The sequence below is a fragment of the Homo sapiens genome, chromosome 7 (genome assembly GCF_000001405.40).
Source record: "Homo sapiens chromosome 7, GRCh38.p14 Primary Assembly".
NCBI classification, from domain to species: Eukaryota; Metazoa; Chordata; class Mammalia; order Primates; family Hominidae; genus Homo; species Homo sapiens.
Genome location: NC_000007.14, coordinates 118,150,920 through 118,172,804, shown reverse-complemented (window position 1 = coordinate 118,172,804; position 21,885 = coordinate 118,150,920). Strand labels below are relative to the sequence as shown.

At 35.8% G+C, this 21,885-nt stretch overlaps 1 long non-coding RNA gene across 2 annotated transcripts in view; it reads left to right on the top strand.

Annotated features, from left to right (window-relative positions):
- LOC105375470 (uncharacterized) overlaps nucleotides 1-21,456 on the top strand; it is a 32,620-nt gene extending 11,164 nt beyond the window's left edge. Inside the window, exons 2-4 of one of the 2 annotated variants that reach the window (XR_927904.3) lie at nucleotides 3,411-3,690; nucleotides 17,237-17,373; nucleotides 19,486-21,456. This is a non-coding gene — a long non-coding RNA (uncharacterized LOC105375470). Of the gene's footprint in view, nucleotides 1-3,410; nucleotides 3,691-17,236; nucleotides 19,097-19,485 lie in introns of those variants that run through there. The other variant, XR_927903.3, reaches the window with a different exon arrangement.
- The last annotated feature ends 429 nt before the right edge of the window (nucleotides 21,457-21,885 follow it).

Genomic DNA, 21,885 nt, shown 5'->3' with positions numbered 1-21,885 from the left:
CCAGTCCTTGTCATCATTTGACTTCACCTGATTCTCTTTTATGTGAAGCAAAGGACAGGGTAGGGTTTCTCCCCATCTTCACACATCTGCACAAGCCTCCCTAAATATTCCTGAGTGGGTAGTCTTTCCTACCACCAAAGTTGGTCTAAAGTGGATTGTTTACTCAAAAACAAAATTCCTGTCTTTAGTAGACCATAGACTGTCTGCTGCACCAGACTTCAACTTGGGCCACTTATGTAGCAAGAAATGATACAAAGAAGTAACTTAGTTATCTGATTGTGGCACAGCTAACATTTATTTCATGGTGTTAGGACCGACTGTTGACTGTGGGTTGCCACTTAACCTCATCAAGCTGGAAATGTAAAGAGTAGAGTGAGCCCACATTTCAGAGCTGCTCTGACCTACTGATTCATTCCTCTGGGAGGTTGAGATCCCCAGACTCTGAGAGAACCTCCCGCTTGTTGCAGCCACGAATCTATATTCTAATCTCATGTATATCATTTGCCTTGCTTGCTTACTGGTTCAAAGCAAGCCAAGGTGAGAGCGCTGTTAGGTGAATGTGAGATGCCATTCTCACCTGTCCTCCAGCAATAACAACCTCTCTCTGTGGACTGGCATAGGTGGTCACCACCAAATAAACCTGAACATCCTGCAAGCATATTGGGCTCTTCAAGCAAACATTTGACAAATTTGATCTCACCTTCCTTCCCAACACCACAGTGATCTAGTTGTGGCTTTCAAGAAGCCTGAGCCAAACTCGCAGTGTGGAGATGTTAGTTAGTCATGGAGATGAAGGTATAAGCTACCCAGGCCTTTTCCCCGGAGTAATTGGGCATGGGCTGGTGAACTTGCAAGGGCCTGGTGTTTATGGAATTTCACTCTTACCAATTTGGTAAAAAAAAAAAAAAAAAAAAAAAAAAAAAAAAAAAAAAAATTAAAAAGTATGTTTCCACAGAGCATCGTGCTGTGAGCCTGTGATCTCAGCTACTTGGTAGACTGAGATGAGAGATCACTTGAGTGCAGAAATTCGAGGCTATAGTGAGCTGTGATCACACTATTGCACTCTAGCCTGGGCGAGAGTGAATCCCTGTCTCCAAAGTAAATAAATTAATTAAAAGTGTGTTTTCATTTCTTATCTCAGAGAATCTTTGTGAAAATAGCTCTTCTTGCTTCTGTTGTAGCTGGCCCTTCTTTGCCTTCCCCAGAGTTTAGACGGAAGACCAGAAGACCCTGAGTGAAGAAAAAGATCTTCTTTGTAGTCTCTTTTCATTCCATACAAATAGATGACTATAAACACATTAGACATTACCAGTCTATTTGCAGCAGTCGACACAACTTTACCTTAAATTTTCCTCCCCCAGCATGCCTCTCCAAAGAAACTTACACAGAAAACCTCACTAACGTTAGATGTTGCACTGGGCTTTAACCTTTTCTACTCACTCATTCAGAAATCTTTAATGAAAGTTTGACATGTTAAAAAAAAAAGAACAATTATTTTCACAGAGAATATTAGAAACGAGTAAGACACATTTTCTTAAGACTTTTACCTTTTTCATGGAATGTGTGTGTGTGTATACATGTCTGTTTGTATGTATATAACATTAACCACCATAGGAAAGCAGAAAGAAAATATGCAGTGGTATGTATTGCCACACAGATACTGCTGGGAACAGTATCTCTCTTTGCACAGAAACTTTTCAGTTTCTCTGTGGGTGGTGTCTCTTGCCCCTTTCAGTTCCCAAGATAATTGGGTATCCAGAGGTCACTACTAGACAGAGAGCCTTATTTCCTGACCATTGTCAATTCTACAAACGGTGGAGCAAAGTGCCAGATACTGAGACAGTCATTGGCTCTCTGAAGCTAAATAAGATACTGTTCCTGCTTTTGAGGAGTTTAGGTTGTAATGATATCTTTTCTAAAATGAATAGAATTAGCTGAGGTGGTTCTCCCTGTATTGAGTTTGGGTTGGCAGGCAAGGAAATGGAGTTATGCACAATTGGCTCAACGTTCAATGGGCACAAAATCTTAGATGAAAATGAGAATTGGAAGGATCCTGTTTTAGCATTAGTGAATTATTCCTTGTATCCAATAAGTAGAGTGATGGACAAAGGTCTCTCTGGGACTAATTAGGAGAGACAAATCCAATTTAGAAGGCTGATACAAAATTTCTAGATTGGTTTAAAAATCAGTTGAATCAATTAATGTCTCCTCCTGCCTGAGATAGTGGAATAACTTGCCAATATTGATTTAGAGAGTTTATTGATGTCTCTTGGTCATTTCACTTCTTGACTGGCTCCCCTAATATGCCATACCCTCCACTCAAGGCTCTGCAGTGGATTCTCATCTGCTGAGGGGCAGGTTCAAGTCCATGCACAGGATGCCTCGATTATTTCATCCTGAATCATAACTCCCTAGTCTACGCCATTTGTTCAAAATTCTAGGAGAGCTACTCTACCCACATTGGGCTCCAGGTGAATAAGAAATAAATGTTGTATAACAACAAATTTGGGTTTAACTCTACACTAAGATTTTTTTTTTCATTTTGTAAATGAGGTTTAAATTTGGGTGAAGGTTGTATATCATACATAATTTCTGTTTAAGTTTATTAGTGAAGTAATTCTGAGGCAGTTTCATGAGTGCAATTAACAAATATTTTATCCAGGAGAAGTTTTCCTGGAAGAACAGAAATACACTGGAAAGTTTTCAGAATGTTTTATAAATATTTTGTGAAAGTTAGGTTGAAAACTTGGAGGAAGAGGTTATTGAATCCTAGTAAAAATCAGAGATCCCTGATTCTGCGATCCTCAGTATTTGGCCTCCATAGTCATTGAACAGAAGGAAGAGAGGATTTTGGAATCATATGAAGTAAAAGGCCTTGGTGTGGTTTTCGTCACTTTGGTCTACATCCCATCTTTTAGTACTGAATCACAATTCCCCAACTGAACTAATGAGAGGCCAATAAATACAGTCCACCTGTACACTCAGAAAGATGTGTGGAATTGGTGGACATCTAGCCAATTTGTTCTATGTTGTATTAATAGAAATCATCTAGAATGAATATTCTTGTAAAAAGGATACAGTGGTTAAAGGGTGTGGTTATAAAGAACTTGCCTAAGACCACACAAATAATGGCAAAACTAAACCAGAACTCAGACCTCCTGACCACAATACTTCCTCCAGTGTTCCAAATTACCTTCCTACATTGGCTGGGAGGCTTTTGGAAGTGACAAAAAACCTGAACCAAAGTGGATTATGAAAGAAAAAACTTGGAGAGTATGAGTTCATGTAATTGAATTGTGTACACACCGCTCTAATTTTAGGCTTTATAAAAGGGAGACTTAATTCATCAGTTTGTGTTGCCATCTGGACACTGAGTCCATTCTGATTCTTGTAGCTCTGTCTTCCTGCAGATGCTGGACTAGTTTTCATACTAGATCCCCTCGTGGCAGCATTAAGGAACTTCACATTCTTCTCACACTATTCATGGAAAGTTCCTGGAACTCCCACAGCAGCAAGAAAACTTCGCTTGTAGGAGTCCTTAGCACATCTGTAAAGTTTTATTGGCCAAAATGTGATACATCTCCATTTCTGGATCAGTCACTGTGGTCAAGTGCAAGACGCTCTACAGGACTCAACCTGGGGATGAGGTCTGTCTACTCCATCCATATGGTCACTTTATACTGAGGTTGGGTAAGTACTCCTAAGGAAATCAGGTTTGTTTTGGTTGGAAAAAAAAAATGGAAATGGATGCTGAGGTAACAGCCAACAAATATCTACTATTTTCTAAGATGTGTTTGAAACTAATGCAAAAAAGCTCTGAGATTAAGATGTGTATGTAGCTCATCAGTTTAGTTGTATTTCCTATATATAATATTTATGGTACCTAAACTATTACTAAGATGTTTATTATTTTATTTAAAATTTGGTTGAGGTTTTCTATATCATCCTAAACCTAAGTTTGGAAATAAAGATTTAATGCTATATGACAGGTACAATTGCTATCTTTTAGTGAAAAGTCCTAAAAATCTTATGGTTGAGAATACAATATTTACTTTCTGGAAGCTCTGCTCACAAACTTTCTGGACAAAGAGCATTATCCACAATCACTGCTAACTAAAAGGATAGAGAAACTTTTCTTAGGCTTTCCTCCAGGATTGTCTGTACTTAATCAGCTCCCCTATATATTCTCAAATAGCCTCTGAAAATATACCCTTTGTCCCTTTTTCAACAAATCCCATAATTCTTTATTTTTTCTTCCTCATAGTTACTTTCAGACATTTACAATGTCTTAAGAGTATTATACAAATTGAATAGAATGAATTGTGCAAAATAACAATATGTTGTAGGTCCAAAAGAACTATATCTTTTATGTCTGAGAAAAAGTTTTAAAATCAGCACCTACACAGCAATAAATGGTTTAATGATAGCCTTTTAAGTGCACCATCAGAGCCCTTTTATAGAATTTTGTGAAAGACATACTAGATAATTTCCATGGAAGTTGGTCTCATTTAAATGATACTATCCTAAGGAACATTTCATATAAACAACTCATATTTTCTTTAAGTTTCTTTTAAAGGTTGAGCTGACAGTCACATCAGGATTTGATAAGTCAGAGCAGTGCTGATGTTATTACAAGGTAATACTTTTGCAATCATCAGCAACAGGATAGGACTGCAGAACTGTAACAGACTTTGCATGAAAAAATACAAAATAATATCATGTTTGGGCAGTTGTGATAATAAATGATGGCATATCAGTGTAGAGGTAGTAGTGAAACAAATGAATTATTAAAGAATATTATTTTTAAGTATATTAAAGAATATAAAGAATATAACATCCTTATTGTGCCTATCTTTTTGGTTTTTTTACTTTTGTCAAATAAACTGGGTTGGCAATTGATGGTAGTAATATGTCTTTTAAAAAATATAGGCAAAGAAATAAGTTTACCTGAAGAAAAGTAGAATAAACAATGAAATTATAGTTGTCCTCAGAAATGGTAAAAGTCATCATTACAAATGAAATGTTGTCATCTATATGGAGTGATCGTAGATGTTCTCAAAGAACCTTGAAAGCTAAGCAATAACATCCGTAATGCATTCAGTGCAGAGAAAAGCAGAACATTTTAAAGAGATGTGTCTGTTCCTAGGCAGAAAGGTATTAACAGTGGTAAGGTATGGATATGTACTTCAAAAGGAAATTTAGAAATAAAGGTGCAGAAGAAGCAAATTTGTAAGAGCATGCCTTCACCTGAAGAGAGAATGCTCTGTTAGGCCGATTCAAGAATCCACTCGACAGGAATATAACTATTTCAAAGACTGTCACATCAAAGCCAGATGTCATTACACATTCCAATAAGTAACTCCTTATCCTGCTTCCTTGCTTCCCAAATACCCTAGGGATAATTGGGCTCACTGGTCAGGGCTCACTATGTCTAGACTGCTTGGCAATCAAACTCCTTATTGTAAATAAATAAAATGGCTTAAATATCAGACCCTGATGAGCTTTGTTAGTATGAATCACCTTCCCGAATATGCTAAATATGTTCACATTGATGAAATTAAGTTTCTAAGTCTGAAAGGCTAAAAGGACAGATCCTGGACTGGTTGGCTGCATCAAGATACATACCACTTTGTGGGGCTACATCTGGGTGAGCAGTACACCTAGAAAATCCCTACGTCTCATGACTTGGGTTTTCTCAACTTTTGCAAGACTACTGTTAATGTTATGTGATATGAACCAAGCTCTTAATGTTATTTTTGTGTCATATTAACATGAGATAGGGAGATAATCCCTTAATGAAAAAATATATTTATTTTGCTGCTATGAGAACTTGAAGTTTTGCAAAGGAAAAAAAAGATGAGTTATTTGAGTACCTACCTGGCCTGAAATTGAAGCATCACATAAATTAAATATTTCTCATTTAAACTACTGTATATCTTTCTCTTCTCTTTCCTTCTTCATTGCCAGCCTTTTTGAACGAGCCATTTGCTGCCTCCACTCCTTCAGTGCCAAGTATCTCCTCTCCACCCCCCACCATCTGGCTCCCACCCCCATTATTCTGCTGAAACTGTCTTAAAGGTTTCTGACTGATAATAGACAGCTTCTTAATCATTATTTTACTTGACTTGTCTGCAAAGTTGGATAGTGTGTTCTATGCTCTTCTTTTGAGAACATACCTTCTCCCTTTCCTGATGTCCAGGACCTGTCTTTTCTTAATTTTTCTCCTGACAATTTACACCTTTCTCTCAGTGCCTTCTACTGGCAGCTTTTTAAAAAAGAAATATAATGTGGCAGATCAAGCTAGTGCCCCCTTCACATGTTAGTTTTCATAGGCAATACATAAATGAATGGTTGTAGATATATTCCAATAGAAGTTTATTTACAAAAATGTCAATGCACCAGATGTGGCCCAAAGGCCATAGTTTGCTGACCTCTGCTCTACAATGTAAATTAGATCATGTATCTCCCTATTAAAGCCTTTCTATTTTCTACAGAAGACAGTGTTCACCATCCTTTAAAATCTGGCATCATCCTTAATTTACCACTTAAGGTCAGTGCCTTAATCTCTGAGATTCTAATCTGTATTCTAACTTGTTCCTAATAACTCTATTATTATCATATCATGTAGTTGATACAAAAGCTTAAGATAAATATAACCTTTTTTTACAAATCATTAAGAGAAAATTTAACACTCTAATTGGCAAAATAGACAAAGGGTATGAATAAGCATTTTACACTAAAAAAAGAGAAATGCCCAAGAACTATTTGCAAAAAAGTTTAACTTCATTAATGAATAAATGAATATAAATTAAAATGATACATCTTTGCTTATAAAATTGGCAATTTAAACCATGATAGCATCCAGAGTTGATTACTATATATATTAATGCTATAAAAGAGTCCCCAACTTAAAATGGTTCAACTTACAATTTTTCAACTGTAACATGGGTTTATTGGGACATAACTTTATGATAAGCAGAGGAGCATCTGTAGAGGAGGTGCTTTTGGTAGAAATAGAGGATATGTTTATTCAAAATTTCTAGGGGAAAATTTTATAACAAATATTGAAAGCCTTGTCCCAGCAGTTCCATTTTTAGGGATTGCTCATGTAGAAATTATTATGAAAGTATGTAATGATTTAGCTGCAGGGATAATTACTACAATCCTACTTAAAAATACCAGAATACAGCTGGGTGCGGTGGCTCACTCCTGTAATCTCAACAATTTGGGAGGGCGCAGCGGGAGGATCACAAGGTCAGGAGATTGAGACCAGCTTGGTCAACATGGTGAAACCCTGTCTGTACTAACAATACAAAAATTAGCCAGGCGTGGTGGTGCACGCCTGTAATCCCAGCTACTCGGGAGACTGAGGCAGGAGAATCACTTGAAACCGGAAGGCGGAGATTGCACCACTGCACTCCAGCCTGGGCAAAAGAGCGAAACTCCATCTAAAAAAAAAAAAAAAAAGAAATAAAATAAAATACCAGAATCCTTAAAATAACAAAGGTCCCACAAGAGAGGATCGATTAAAGAGTACAAGTGTTAAAATTTCTGTAGAAGACCAAGTAGGGTTTATTCCAGAAATGCAAGTCTAATTTAACATTTGAAAATCAGGCAACCTAATTTACCACATAAACAGAATAAAGGAACATTTTCTACCTAAGGTTGCTAACAAGGCAGAGATACCTACTGACATGATGTCTGCTGTGCTGGAGTTCCTAGTAGGATTTTCTTTCCTTTCTTTCTTCTTTTTTTTTTTTCTATTTTTGAAACAGAGCTTCACTCTGTTGCCCAGGCTGTAGTGCAGTGTCAGGATCTTGGTTGACTGCAACATCCGCCTCCCAGGTTAAGTGATTCTCTTGCCTCATCCTCTTGAATGGGTGGGATTACAGGAGCACGCCACCGCACCCAGCTAATTTTTGTATCTTAAGTAGAGACCGGGTTTCTCCATGTTGGCGAGGCTGGTCTCGAACTCGTGACCTCAACTGATCTGCCCACCTTGGCCTCCTGAAGTGCTGGGATTACAGACGTGAGCAACACACCTGGCCTGGAGTTCCTAGTTAGTGTTATAAGGCAGAATAAAGAAATAAAAAACATAATGATTGTAAATAAAGGAGTAAAAATATCATTGGTCAACAGTTTCATGACTGTGTATGTAGAAAATTCAAAGAAAACCATAAACTACCAGAACTAATAAATGCATTTAGCACTGAACACAAGTTTTAATATACAAAAATCAATTTTATTTTTATATAATATCAACAAAAATTTCAAAATAAAATTTAAAAGCAATTCAGCTACCATTTTTAGTAATACACCAATAAAATTTTCTTAGTTTGACAAAAATAAATCAGAAATGTAAGATACTAACAATGAGAGTAACTGGGTCAGGAGTATACCAGAACTCTGTACTATCATTCTAACATTTCTGTAAATCTAAAATGTTTCCAAATTACAAAGTTTATTTAAAACGGAAACCCAGAACCAACAAACAAACAAAAAAGCAATACCAATGACAGTAGCCACAAAACCCTTCAAATACCTAGGAAAAATTTAACAAAATATATGCAAGACCTCTAAATTTAAAACTACAAAACATTGCAGAGAGAAACCAAAGAAGACCAAAACAAATGGAATAGTATAGTAATGTACTGGAAGATTCCATATTGTTAAGATATCGGTAAACCCTAAATTAATCTGTAGATTCAGTGTAATTCATTTGAAAGTCACAGCAGATTTTTTATAGGAATTGACACACAAATTCTAAAATGGAGTTATATAGAAGTGCAAAAGATGTTAGATAGCTGACAATCTAAAAAAAAAAAAAACCAGGTTGGAAAATTTATTCTACCTTACTTTATTTTTCTTGAGGTATAATTGATATACAACAAACTATACATCATTAATGTATACAATTTGATGAATTTGGAAATATGCATACACCTGTGACATCATCACTACAATCAAGGTAATAGACATATCTGTCACTTCAAAAGTTTCCGGGTGGTGGTTTTTCCTTTGTTTGTTTTTTGTGAGTGTGTAGTAAGAATACTGAACATGAAATCTACTGCAAACAAATTTTGAAGCGCACAATACAGTATGTTTAATTAGAGGCATTATATTGTACAGCAAATTTCTAGAACTTATTCATCTTGCATAACTGAAATTTTATACTCATCAAACAACTCTCCATTTTTCCCATTGCCTAGCCCTGGCAACCACCATTTTCTATGAGTTTGACTATTCACTATGAGTTTGACTATTTTAGATACCTCACGTAAGTGGAATCATATAGTATTTGTTCTTCTGTGATTTGCTCATTTTACTAATGCCAATTCTTCTTAAACTCTTCTAAAAACTAGAAGAGAGAACAATCCCAAACTCATTTTATCAGCTAGTATCACCCTAATTTTAGAGCCTAACACATCACAAGAGGAGGAAACTACAGGCCAATATCCTTGATGAACATAGATGCCAAAATCCTCAATAAAATACTAGCAAGCAGAATTCAGCAGCACATTAAAAGGATCATAAACCATAATCAAGTGGGATTTATCCCTGGCATACAAGAATTGTTTAACATACAAAAAATCCATCAATATGATACACATTAACAGGATGAAAGAAAAAACCACATGGTCATCTCAATAGATGCAGAATAAGCATTTGACAAAATTCAACATTCTATCATGATTTAAAAAACTCTCAACAAAATGAGTATAGAAGAAATGAACCTCAACACAATAAGGGTATATATAAAAACCCACAATCGGCTGGGTGCGGTGGGTCATGCCTGTAATCCCAGCACTTTGGGAGGCAAAGGCGTGGGGATCACTTTTGTTCAGGAGTTTGCGACCAGCCTGACCAACATGGAGAAAGCCCGCCTCTACTAAAAATACAAAAATTAGCCAGGCATGGTGGTGCACACCTGTAATCTCAGCTACTAGGGAGGCTGAGACAGGAGAATTACTTGAGCTGGGGAGGCGGAGGTTGCAGTGAGCTGAGACCATGCCGTTGCAGTCCAGCCTGGGCTACAGAGTGAGACTCCGTCTCAAAAAAAAAACAAAAAACAAAAAACAAAACCCTCAACATCATAATCAATGGAGAAACACTGAAAGCTTTTCTTCTAAGATCCAGAATAGGGCAAGGAAGTCCACTGTTAACATTTGTATTCAACATAATACTTCAAGTCCTAGCCAGAGCAGTCAGGCAAGAAAAAGAAATAAAAGGCATACAAATCAGAAGAGAAAATTATGTTTGCAGATGACATAATCATAGAAAACCCCAAAGACTCCACAAGGAAAACTGTTAAAACTAAAACATATTTCAGCAAGGTTGCAGAATACAAAATTAACATACAAAAATTAGTGATATTTCTATAAATCAATAATGATCTGAAAGGTTGAAAGAAAACAATTCCATTTACATCACCAACAAAAACTAAAATACTTAGGGATTAAGATAAAACAAATTCAAAAAGACATAAATAAATGGGATGATGTCCTATTTTCATGGATTGAATCATGCAAGAAAGTGCCTTTCTTTTTGTTCCTAAGCAAATGACTACAGACAAAAAGTTAAATGTCTCCACAGGTAGCTACTCTATGTTCCCCTTATCTTATGTAAAGTGCCAATTTAGTGAGTGTGAGATGAATATATAATTGACTATCTCCTACCTGCTCCTTTCCTCTTGCAACATGTGGATTCGGTAATATGACCATACCCTCCCTCTTTCCTCTAAGACTGCTTTTTCCCTTTAAATATTGAAGCCCTGAAAATCATCTCTGGAGAAAGACACAGACTTCTCTCCTGGACATGTCCTTAAACTTGGAAAAATAAACTTCTAAACTGACTGGGAACTCTCTCAGGTACTTTTTGGTCTACAAATTGGTGATCATCAGAAGGGACTCTAAGTAGCGGTGGCCCTGACCTTTGGTAACTTTCCCATCAGTGCTTGGGACCAGCTTGAGCTATCTTTATTGCTCAAACCAGTAGGAAAATTTTCTGAGGCATAGGAGCTCCCCACTCCAGAGAATCTCTGATCTCCCAAATTTGGTTGAGATCTGAGGTTTATTTTGCTGTACAACTCCTTTTCTGGAGCTTTACTCACTAACAACAAGGAATGAGAGTTTTCCTGCTTCCATGACGTTAGAGGCAGGCAATTCCTTTCTGGAGCTTTAGCTCACTTCCAACAGGGAAGGCAAGGTTGAGAGTTTTTTCCCTGCTTCTAAGGTGGTAGAGAGCAGTTTCAACCTGGGCCGCATTTCTGGGTAAGTAGCTGAATTGTGGTTTTGTCTTGGAAGTTCTCCTTAATGACTAAAAATTAAGATTAACAACCAGGTGTTCTTAATTTCTCTTTACTATTAGAGCACTCCGTAATCATATAAGTTGTGTGATCATTTATTTGTTTTGCTTGGTTTTTTGTTTATTTGTTTCTGTTCTTGTTGTTTTATTTCAGTCTTTCTCCCATTGGGTTTGACCAACTCTGCTTGACTTGGTTAAATCTGAAGGAAAGTTCCAAATTATGGGGAACACAGCCTTTGAATTGCCTAAATTCCCAAAGCTGTGTACAAAAAAAGGAAAAGGAAAAAAAATGGCCAAGAAAAGGAAAAAAGAAAGATTTTGACTACCTGAAGGGCTTTATTTATGTAAAAAGGCCACCTTTTGCTAGCAAAGCCAAACTAAAAGAGCAACAATGGTGGTCACTCCATGCTGTAGTTCAGTAGCTAAGGTTCTGCCCTTTCACCATGGCAGCCTGAGTTTGGTTTGTAAATCAAATCCTTTCTGGATTGGTATTTGTGTTACCTTTGAAAAATCAGTTTGTCCCAGATAAAATATGGTAATAAGAGATTTTAAATGATATTTTAAAGAGCTCAATGATTAAAAGTCAGCTTAATTAAAAGCTAATTAAGATGTATATGTGTATACATATGCATAATACTGAATATATATGTACATACATATGCAGTGTTTAATATATGTATTTAAAAGGCCTTTATACTTTTGTTCTCTCCCATTATCTTGTTTTTTTGGGAAAAAGGTTTTTTTTCTTCTCAGTCAACTGAATTCTGTTTTCTCCATTTACTTCTGTCTATCTCTCCTTCCTCTTGCTACCCCTCTGCTACCTAAGGGACCTAAAATAATTTCTAACAGCCTGGAATGTCTTAAAGAAAACAGTGAAGGCCCCAGACTCCATTCTGGCAAGAAATCTCTGTTTTTCATTATGGAATTCCAAGACTACAAACAGTCAAGTTCCTCTCAGACCTTAAGCTGCTTGCTTTTGTATTATGTTACCTGATTTTTTTTTTTTTTTTTTTTTTACTAAAATAGTTACTACATACAACAGGGGCTATTCTTGGGTGTTTAAGATAAGAAGTGACATGGTTTAGACACTTAGAGAAATGTCCTTGCAACAAAGTGCACTGTAAAAGCGTTACCTGGCCTAGTTTCATGATATGTCTCTGTTTTTGGAGACCCAGGCTTCATTGTAGGCTCTGCCCAGAGCTCAAAGGTCCAGTTAAAAGACAGAGACTAAATTTAAAACTACCTATTTAAATAATATTGGCCTCCTTATAAAATCCTATGGTAGATTTCTAGAATTTTATGTGTGACTTGGCATTCATTTTTAACTCCCTCTAACAAACCAGTCTCTCTCTCTCTCTCTCAATCTCTGTGTGCGTGTGTGTTTGTGTGTGCATATATGTACTTTGAGACATAAATTTCACTATCTGATTTTTACCTGAGTTTTTCCTTTAGTATGCAAATTTAGGGCTGTCTGACAATTGCCTAGGGTAATGAAACAGATTATCAAGAAATTGGATGTCTAAAATAGGAGGAAAAAGGGGTCTTATGGATCTATAAGATCTAATACTACCTGTGTATCTAAAACGTCTGCATATTTACGTGTCTTGTGTATGCTTCACTACCAAAGTATATAAAAGAGCTCTAATTAATTGGCTTAAAGAAAAAAAATTTTGTATCAAATACTTTATCAGAAAAATAGAAACCTTAAGCCCAAACACTTTTTCAAGTTCACATGACTTAAGTAAACCTCTAATAGATAAGCTGGTTTTTAAATTATTGGTAAAATAAAATTAGATGTGTCTTCAGATTTGTCAACATACATTATTGTTTAGATTTATTGGTCAAATAGTGTTATATTTATTTCTGCTAGATATTATAAGGTGTCAAAATTTGTCATGAGGATTATAAAGCTATAAATACATCCCAAAAGAGAATTATCTTTGTTTGTGTAATTTTTTTAATCAAGAAGGCATTAAATATTGTTGGTTTAATGAAAATAGCTAAAATCCTGCATTGTTGGCAAAAACAAACAAACAAAACGTCTATTTAACCTTAAGGTTCTTTCTTAGGTAAACACAGGAAATTCACAAGCTCTAAAATGATTAACAGGGAAATAACTTTAAATGTTTTCATAAGTAATCTCGGTAAACTATAAAAAAATTAGGTAAATGGAATAAACGTCATATAATTTGGAAGGTAAACTTACATTAAATTAAATACTAGATACTCATTAAATAGCTAGGTCATTTCCAATTTTTTTAAATTATAAGAATTTTCTAAAAATCTTATTTGAAGGAAAATAATTTTTGTCTAATTCAAAAGTTATTTAAAGGTTATTTTTGAAACAAAGTAAAAAGAACTAGTAAAGAAAGTAATAGATATAAAGAGATATTTTTGATAAGACAGGTTAAAAGGAATAATTTTATATGAGAAAGAATCTTATATGGTAAATTTTTGTCCTAAAGTAAACTCACTGGTTATTTAGGAATGAGGGATGTTTAGGACAAAACAGCAAGTCCAAGCATGTTGGAAATGGTTTGTATAAGTTGCAATAAGGTTTGTAAAAGGAGAATTTATGGAAAAAAACTGTGATTAAGTTGGCTATAATTAAAAGGAAATTATTTATAATAGTCTTTTAGAGATTGGGCTTTGATATTAAAAATAAACTAATATGCTAAAGAATTGGTTAGAACAACAAGATTTTCTTAAGGTATTTATTTATGCTTAATAAAATTACAAGATTTTAATTTTTTAACCCAAAAGTTCAACTTTTATCATGTCTCACTGTTTTCAGCTCTCTCTCTCCTTCAAGAAGGACTGAGATAATACCATTCTCCTTCAACTTTTTTGTCAGCTCCTGTAATTTTTTCACTCAGCTTCTAACTACTCTTGTGGCCTAAAGCTAAAAATGTTTTACCTTAAAGGCCTAAAGGACATATTTTCTTCCAGTATAACATTCTGTGCTCTTGGCTTCATACTCTTCCTATATCTAATTCAAGTACCATTTTCATTAGTTTTGACTTGCAGGTTATCTAAGTGGACTCCTTATAGGGAAAAGTAGTCCCACTGCAGAAGATTGGTTTTTATTGTTTTGTTTTGTTTTTTGCCTTTTGGTAAATGGCCTAATGGATTTTACATTTTATCAAAATAATTCCTAGGTCATTGTTACTAAATTTTGATTTGCTTAGGAAAACTGAGATTTAAACATTTTAAAAATTAAGGTTATCTCATCCATGTAACTTTCTGTATTGCTTTAAAAGTCCTTGTGCTGTCAAGTTACAGGGCTTTGATGCATGGGTCTAAAAAGGACACTAAGTCCTGCTAAATCTCAACACTGACAACAATTAAAGCCTCATTTTCAGACCTGGGAGAAAATGACAATCAAAATACACCATGTTCATGAGACACAGAGCCAGAAATTAAAACTATTCAATACCTCTGGACCCAGGGACTATTGCAGAACAGGTGGACATTTGAGGTTGTAAGGGCCAATTTTGAGAGACAAAATTTGTTCAGAGTTTCTCTGTAAATTAAACATTAATATCAAAAGCACACTAATGCAAACCAGCATCTAGGCCCCTGTGTCAGATTAACAAGGTTTTCTTGAAGCACTAACCAACTATTTAATAAAAAATTATAGGAGGTTATAAAAAGGTATATGAAAATTATATCTTTTAGTCAAGATATTTAAAATTTAATACATTTGTTTGTAAGATTTGAGAGACAGATTTAGTTGGCCTCATGCTGTCTTTTCAAGGGCTTGTTGTTTGGGAAATTAAGGCCTCCTCTCTCAATAAAGATTTTTGCCTTTTCTTGGAAATCTTTGAGTTATAATTTTGGCTAAATGAATGACTTATTTTACAATAACCTGTGATTCTACTATGTGATATGAAGTGTTTTAAGCTTTTTATATTTGACAAACTTTCTAATATCAAATTTTAAATTCAGTTCTGTTGACTTCATTAATTTTTGATATTAGGTCTTCTGAAGCCCAAAAGAGACATGTTCAGCTTATTTGGTATAATAAACATCATACAGAAAGCATTGTCAAATTCAAAATGGTGTTTAACCTTATTTGGATTATGTTTATATAAATGGGTTATTAGTATGTGTTCCAAAATTGTATGAGATTCCTGTGATTCTGTTATGTCTTAATATATGTTATCAGTAGCGATTATGATTATTATGTAAAATTGTTGTATGCCACAAAAGTAACCCAATTTCCTTGTCAATTCTGTCTTTAACCATGACTGTGCTAAGACCTTTGTCATCCACAATTGTTGTTTTACTTTGATCCTTCTATGGGGTGATTTATAATCAGCAATAATACTCTGAGAAGTACTCTTAAATATAAGTTTCTGGTAACTTTAGAAATTGTGCCATTGGAATAGAGAGAAAACTTCCAGGACTCTCATGGAGAGCTGATGTATTAATGAGGATTGTTGATCCAATCTAGAGCAGGCTGACCTATAGAGTTGATAAAAGCCCTTTGGAAAAACTGACCTCATACATTGTCCTTTACAAGGTCCTGACTTGTCTTAAGTAAAGAATGTCTCTTTATGATAGGCCCAGGAACCCCAAGTTTTCTTGGGACCTCAAAAAGAGAGGAATTCACCCAATTCAAACAGGTATCTGCAGGCACAGATAAATTGTTGGCTGGGCGTGAGGCTTTTAAAAAGGTCTAATCTTAGATTCCTTATGGAAAAGCTTCCAGCAAAGCCAATTTCAAAAAAGAGGGAGCCAGTATAGTAAATGATTATTCTTGCTGCACCTTATGCAAATAATCAAGCCAAGTATAATACGACTAAAACTTATTTTACAGATAAGTTTGTCCTATTATGATTTTGTGTTTAACAAAATTAGGGAATTAGAGAGAAAAAAATCATGTTTCAGAATAAACTATAGTACACTTGTTATTAGATTTTAGCCTTGTCTAGTGTTACTTAATTTTTATTATTTTTCTACAATTTGGACTGAATTCTAAAATCTTTCCTGATCAAAAGTCTCCAAAATCATGTTTTCAATTTTTTTCTTCCTTCTTTTCCTCCCCCCGCCCCTTTTTTTCTGATTAGAAATATGGAAGCTAGGCAAGTTAAATTTTGGAAGAAAATAACAGCAACCTATTTATAAACCATTTTCATACCTGCAATCTTATGTATAGACTTCAGAGTAATATGTTATTTATTACTTTTCCAGGATTGTTTTCCCTTTGTTGTTTTTTTGTTATTTTCTCCTTTTTTTCCTTTGTTTTGTTTCTCTCTTCCTCCCCCTATTTTTTCTTGTGGTAGTGAGACTACAACATGGTAAAAATGAGCTTTCATAACATGAGACCTATTTATCTAGGAATAAATTTCCCTAGCCACAAGAGATCAGACAGAACTTGAGACAAGAGACTAATTTTATTCTAAAATGCTTTCTCCAAAAGACTTTAAAAAAAAAAAAGAAAAAAAGGAGGGGGAGAAACGTGAAAGGAAAATAAATACTCGGGACTCCAACTCACTATGCCAAAAGAAAAAAATTAAGCTGAACACTGAGTCATGTAAGAAACTGCCCTTCCTTTTGTTTCTACATATATAGCTACAGACAAAAAGTTAAATATCTCCGTACATAGCAAAAAGAGAGGTCTGAAGCAGAGTGAGTTCATCCATGGATTGGGTTTTTTGTAAGATCAGCTCAAGTGAAGCAAAGAAAGGACTGGGAGTTGAAAGTATTTCAAAGGGGGAACTATATTGATTATGGGATCTGGGTTGAACAAGATGGGAAGTAATGGCAGGAGGGGACTGATGGATAAGAAAGTGGTGAGATGAAAGAGTTGAATGTCCCCACATCATTGAGAAACTATGTGGTTGTATGGAGTACTTGCATCAATGACCTGAATGCATAGGAAGTTGTAGAAGGAAAGTTAGATGTTATTATTTGAATTTTTTGAAAGGGTTGCTGCTTTTTAAGAGATGAAAAGATCCAAGGTGTGACACAGAATGGATGACTGGAGTGGAAAAAATGAAAATGTCATTGGAATATGGAAGTAAAGAAACTGAGAAGCTGAGAGTTTTTGCATCATCCAGTCAGGTATGGAAATCACCAAGGATAAAGGAAGGAACTGGGTTAGAATGGAAGACCTTTTGCCAGGAATGGAAGACTTCAGTAAATGAAGAGATTTGACTAGGATGTTGGCAGAAGATAGTGAGAAGGTCTAAGAAAGGGTGGTATATCCAGATGACATAAACATCAAAAGAACGGTGATTTTTGCAGGAGGGAAGGGGTGAAATAATTTGAAAGTAGCAATGGGAGAGAGCAAGGAATGCACCTACCTCCAATCCTGGCCCTGACATTCTCTCAGGGACCAGATAGGTTTCAACTAAGGTAAGGCAAGGAGATGATGGGAAAATGAGGGAAAGGGGACTGGACTGCTGAACACAGATGAGAGTCACATGAAACACTAGAAGGGTTTATTTAGGGAGGGGGAGAAGTGGAGAGAATAACAGTTTGTGGATTATGATTTTATGAGAAAAAGAAGGACTTAGAGAGGCTGGAACTTCTGCAGATTAGTGAGCTACACAGGGATGTGAAGCATGATTGGCTTGAACCTGGTAGTCTCATCTTGTCATCCTCTTAGTGGTGTGTGCAGCCTAAGGCATTAAATTATGGTGCAGCCTCTGGGCTAATAGTTACTCTCTCAACAGTGGAGAGTTCTACATAATTTGCCATAATTAGATACATTACCTTAGAGAAAGTGCTAAACCCTTCAAAATCCCAGTTGCTTAATCTATGCAATGAGGAACTGATCTAAATTTCCTAAACTTCTTTAGACATGTTAAGGATCTGACATTGAAAAAGTGAGGTTATGCCACTGGTAAGTTTGCAGTATTAAAAATAAATATTCATCTTTCAAATCAATGTATCAGGAGCTAATATTAGGAAGAAAGAGAACTATCTGAGTGTTTATGCATCTGCTGCATTTGACTTCAAACTGTGTTAATGATCTCAACAAAATAGGTAAGTGAAAGAACAATTCAGCATATTTTAGAGACATTTGGTTATGCCTTCCTGCTAAAGCAAATACATTTTGTAACTCATAAATATGAATTAATTTATGACCTCTCAAACGCTAAATAGTAAAGTTGAAATTGAATTGCCAACCTTATCTCGCACCTTCCTTCTATTCTGTTGGACCCCTATCCAACTGATGTATCAGTTCAGTCAATGCTGTAACCACACTAATAGCCTGCTGCACAAAACTGCCTATTTCAATCCAAATAGTGGAACAACTTTGGGCTGAATCCAACAATGAATCCTGCTCTCTGGGGAGCTTTTCTTTAGGTCTTCTTATTTCTCTGAGTTCTGTGTCTTGGCAGGTGTTTTGTTGAATGGTTTAGATTCTTCAGGGAGAGAGGTAACTGAGGGAAAAAGCAGGAAAGGCTGAGCTTGATTAGGAAAGGATATTGTATAAAATCAAAGGGGGATAATTTAGACATTACATCGGTATATATTCACTCATTTGCAAAAAAAAAAAAAATTATATATGGGAGGTAAAAGCCTGATACAGGTGAATTAATTTCACTAAGCAAAGAGTCAAAAATTGGAATATTTCAGCAGTTGAAAAATATATTTGCACATATATGAAAGGAGTTCTGAAGTTTCTTTATCTTATGACAGTGAATGTAATTTTGCATTTTTGTATTTGAGAAATACGGCTTGTTAGCTTATTTCATCCTAGATATTGTACCTGTAGTTTGGGTAATTAGCCACTAGATGGCAGGGCCGTGATGTGAATAAAGGTTACAAAACAATACATGGGTATTCTGTACTCTTAGATAATTTAAAAAGCCAACACGTGGAATTCCTCCCAACACAGTTTAAAAGTAGAAGATGAGCACATATTATGTATTAGGATATTTGCAAGCACTGGAGATGCAAATTACATGATCTCTGTCACCAAAGAGATGCTAGTTTTATAGCCAAAAATATGTATGCTATATTTGTGTTTCTTAAAGCACTATAATTAAATGTGATAAATGTTATTATAGATTTATTTATTTCAAAGTATAATGGGAACATAGGGACTGTTATAATGAATTTAGACTGCAACTTATCTTTAATTGTGGATAAAGTGGCAATATAAAATTACAGAAACATTTTCAAAAAACTAAAATTAACTCTAATTTTTTACTTCATATCCAGTGTTTCTCAATCGGGAAAGAATTTGCCTCCCAGAGGACATTTGGCAATGTCTGGAGCTACTTCTGTTTGTCACAATTAGGGTAAGGGTGCCACTGGCATCTAGTAGGGGGAGGTCTGGGATGCTGCTAAACAGCCTACAATGCACAAGACATGCTTCCACTATTAAAAAAAAATTATCTGGCCCAAAATGTCATAGTGCCAGGATATTATAAATATAGGCAAAGGTGTTCAGAGGTTTAAAACTGAACAAGAGGACATCAGTAAAAGTTCAGTGTTGCAGAATGGGTTAAGATTGGAACATGAAAACAAAAGTTTTTGTCCCAAGATCAGGAGCAGATGAGGTCTAGTGGTTGGAAAGCAAGACTGGAAATGACACCTTGGACTAAGGATATTTGGGCAAGCCCACATAACAGCATTTGAATATGCAACAGTTAGAGCTGGGACAATGAAAGCTTGATTTTGGTCTTGGCAAATAAGGGCTAGAGAGTGTGGAGCTGTGGCCAGAGTCAATTCTGTGGGGACAAGTAGAAAAGGGTTTGGATCTTAGCTTGTGCCTATACTAGCTGAGCAACTCATTTTACCTTGTAGGGTTTCCTTCCTTTAAGGTGGGAAAACTTGTTAAAAGGATTAGAAATGTATGTTAAATACCCAGGACATAAATGCTCAGTAAATGATATTGAACATTATTGAGATACTGTTGAAGCTCTAATTATACCTCTCTTTCCATGATTGTCTTTGCCCCCTTTTGGAAAATTAGTCAGGGTACAACTATATTGCATAACATGGAAAATAGAAAAACATATGAACTGTGGGATGGGAAAGGAAAAGTGAACGACAACAGACAAAACATTTGCAAGACATCCTTAGGCAAAATATTGAAAGCTGAGTCAGAATCACCAAGATCTCTGAACAACATTCCTCTGTTAGGAAGAGAAAGCAGATATTTCCATGAGAATGTGAGGGGGATGAGGAGAGTGGAGTATGCTGCTGTGATCAATTATCCAAACACAACCTGGTTAAATCCAACTCTCTGTGGCTCCTGCATCCACACAGCTGCATGTTATGCAGCACACAATGAGGCTGACTGCTTCCACTTGCACTCATGACCACTGTCCTCCAATGTCCTTAGTACTGTGCTGCAATGATGTTATATATCCCCAATCCATGCTCTCCTAGTTGATACTTCGTACTTTTTCAACCTCTTTGCAAACCTCCAACACCTCTTTTACCATAATCACTGTTAGCTAATGACCTTGATACCTATTTGACTGTCAGAATGGAAGTCTTTAGGAAGAACTTCCATAAACTCTCCCACCTCATCTACTTAACTCCTACATCTGTGTCCATTCACTCTACCTTCTTTCCTGCTATGAAGAATTAGCTTGAACTGTTCATACTGTTAGCTAAGACCAACCCCTCATTGATGCACTATAAAGGCATCCCTTTACACCCACTAAAGCATGACTCTAGCAATTCTCAACATTCTCTTCGACCAGAATCATTCTCTTTTGGATCATTCCCGTCAGCCTAATGTCATTTCTCTCACCTTAAAAAAAAAAAAAAGAAAAGTTTTACTGTGCCAATTTCATTTCATTTTGCTTCTTCCCTTCAATACAAAAGCCTTGAATTCTCTGTAGTGACAGGCTCTACTTTCTCTACTCAAGAGAGCGCTCATTCTCTATCTTAATCCATTAGGCTTTCACCACCACTGTTTTGCAAAACTGCTCTTACCAAGACCATCAGTGCAATTTGTATTAGTAAATCTAATAGCTCTCAAACCTCATCTTCCTTGAACTGTATGGAATTTGACAGTCAGATACATTCTCCTCCTTAAAATGCTTTCTTTACAGTTGACCTTCCATATCCACGGGTTCTACATCTAATACATCTGGGATTCAATGAAGCCCAGATCAGAAATATTTAAAAAATAGGCTAGGTGTGGTGGCCCACGCCTGTAATCCCAGCACTTTGGGAGGCACGAATTGTGTGGATCACTTGAGGTCAAGAGTTCAAAACCAGCCTCACCAACATGGTGAAACCGCATCTCTACTAAAAATACAAAAATTAGCCGGGCACGGTAGCGCACACCTGTAGTCCCAGCTACTCAGGAGGCTGAGGCAGGAGAATCGCTAGAACCCGGGAGGTGGAGGTTGCAGTGAGCCGAGATCATGCCATTGCACTCCAGCCTGGGTAACAGAACAAGTCTTCATCTTAAAAAAAGAAAAATAAAAAAGTATTTTAAAAATAAAAATAAAAAATAACAATACAATAATGAAAATAATACAAATAAAACCAATTTAGTATAACAACTATTTATGTAGCATTTACATTGTATTATGTATTATAAGTGATCTACAGATTATTTAAAGTATATGAAAGGATGTGCCTAGGTTATGTGCA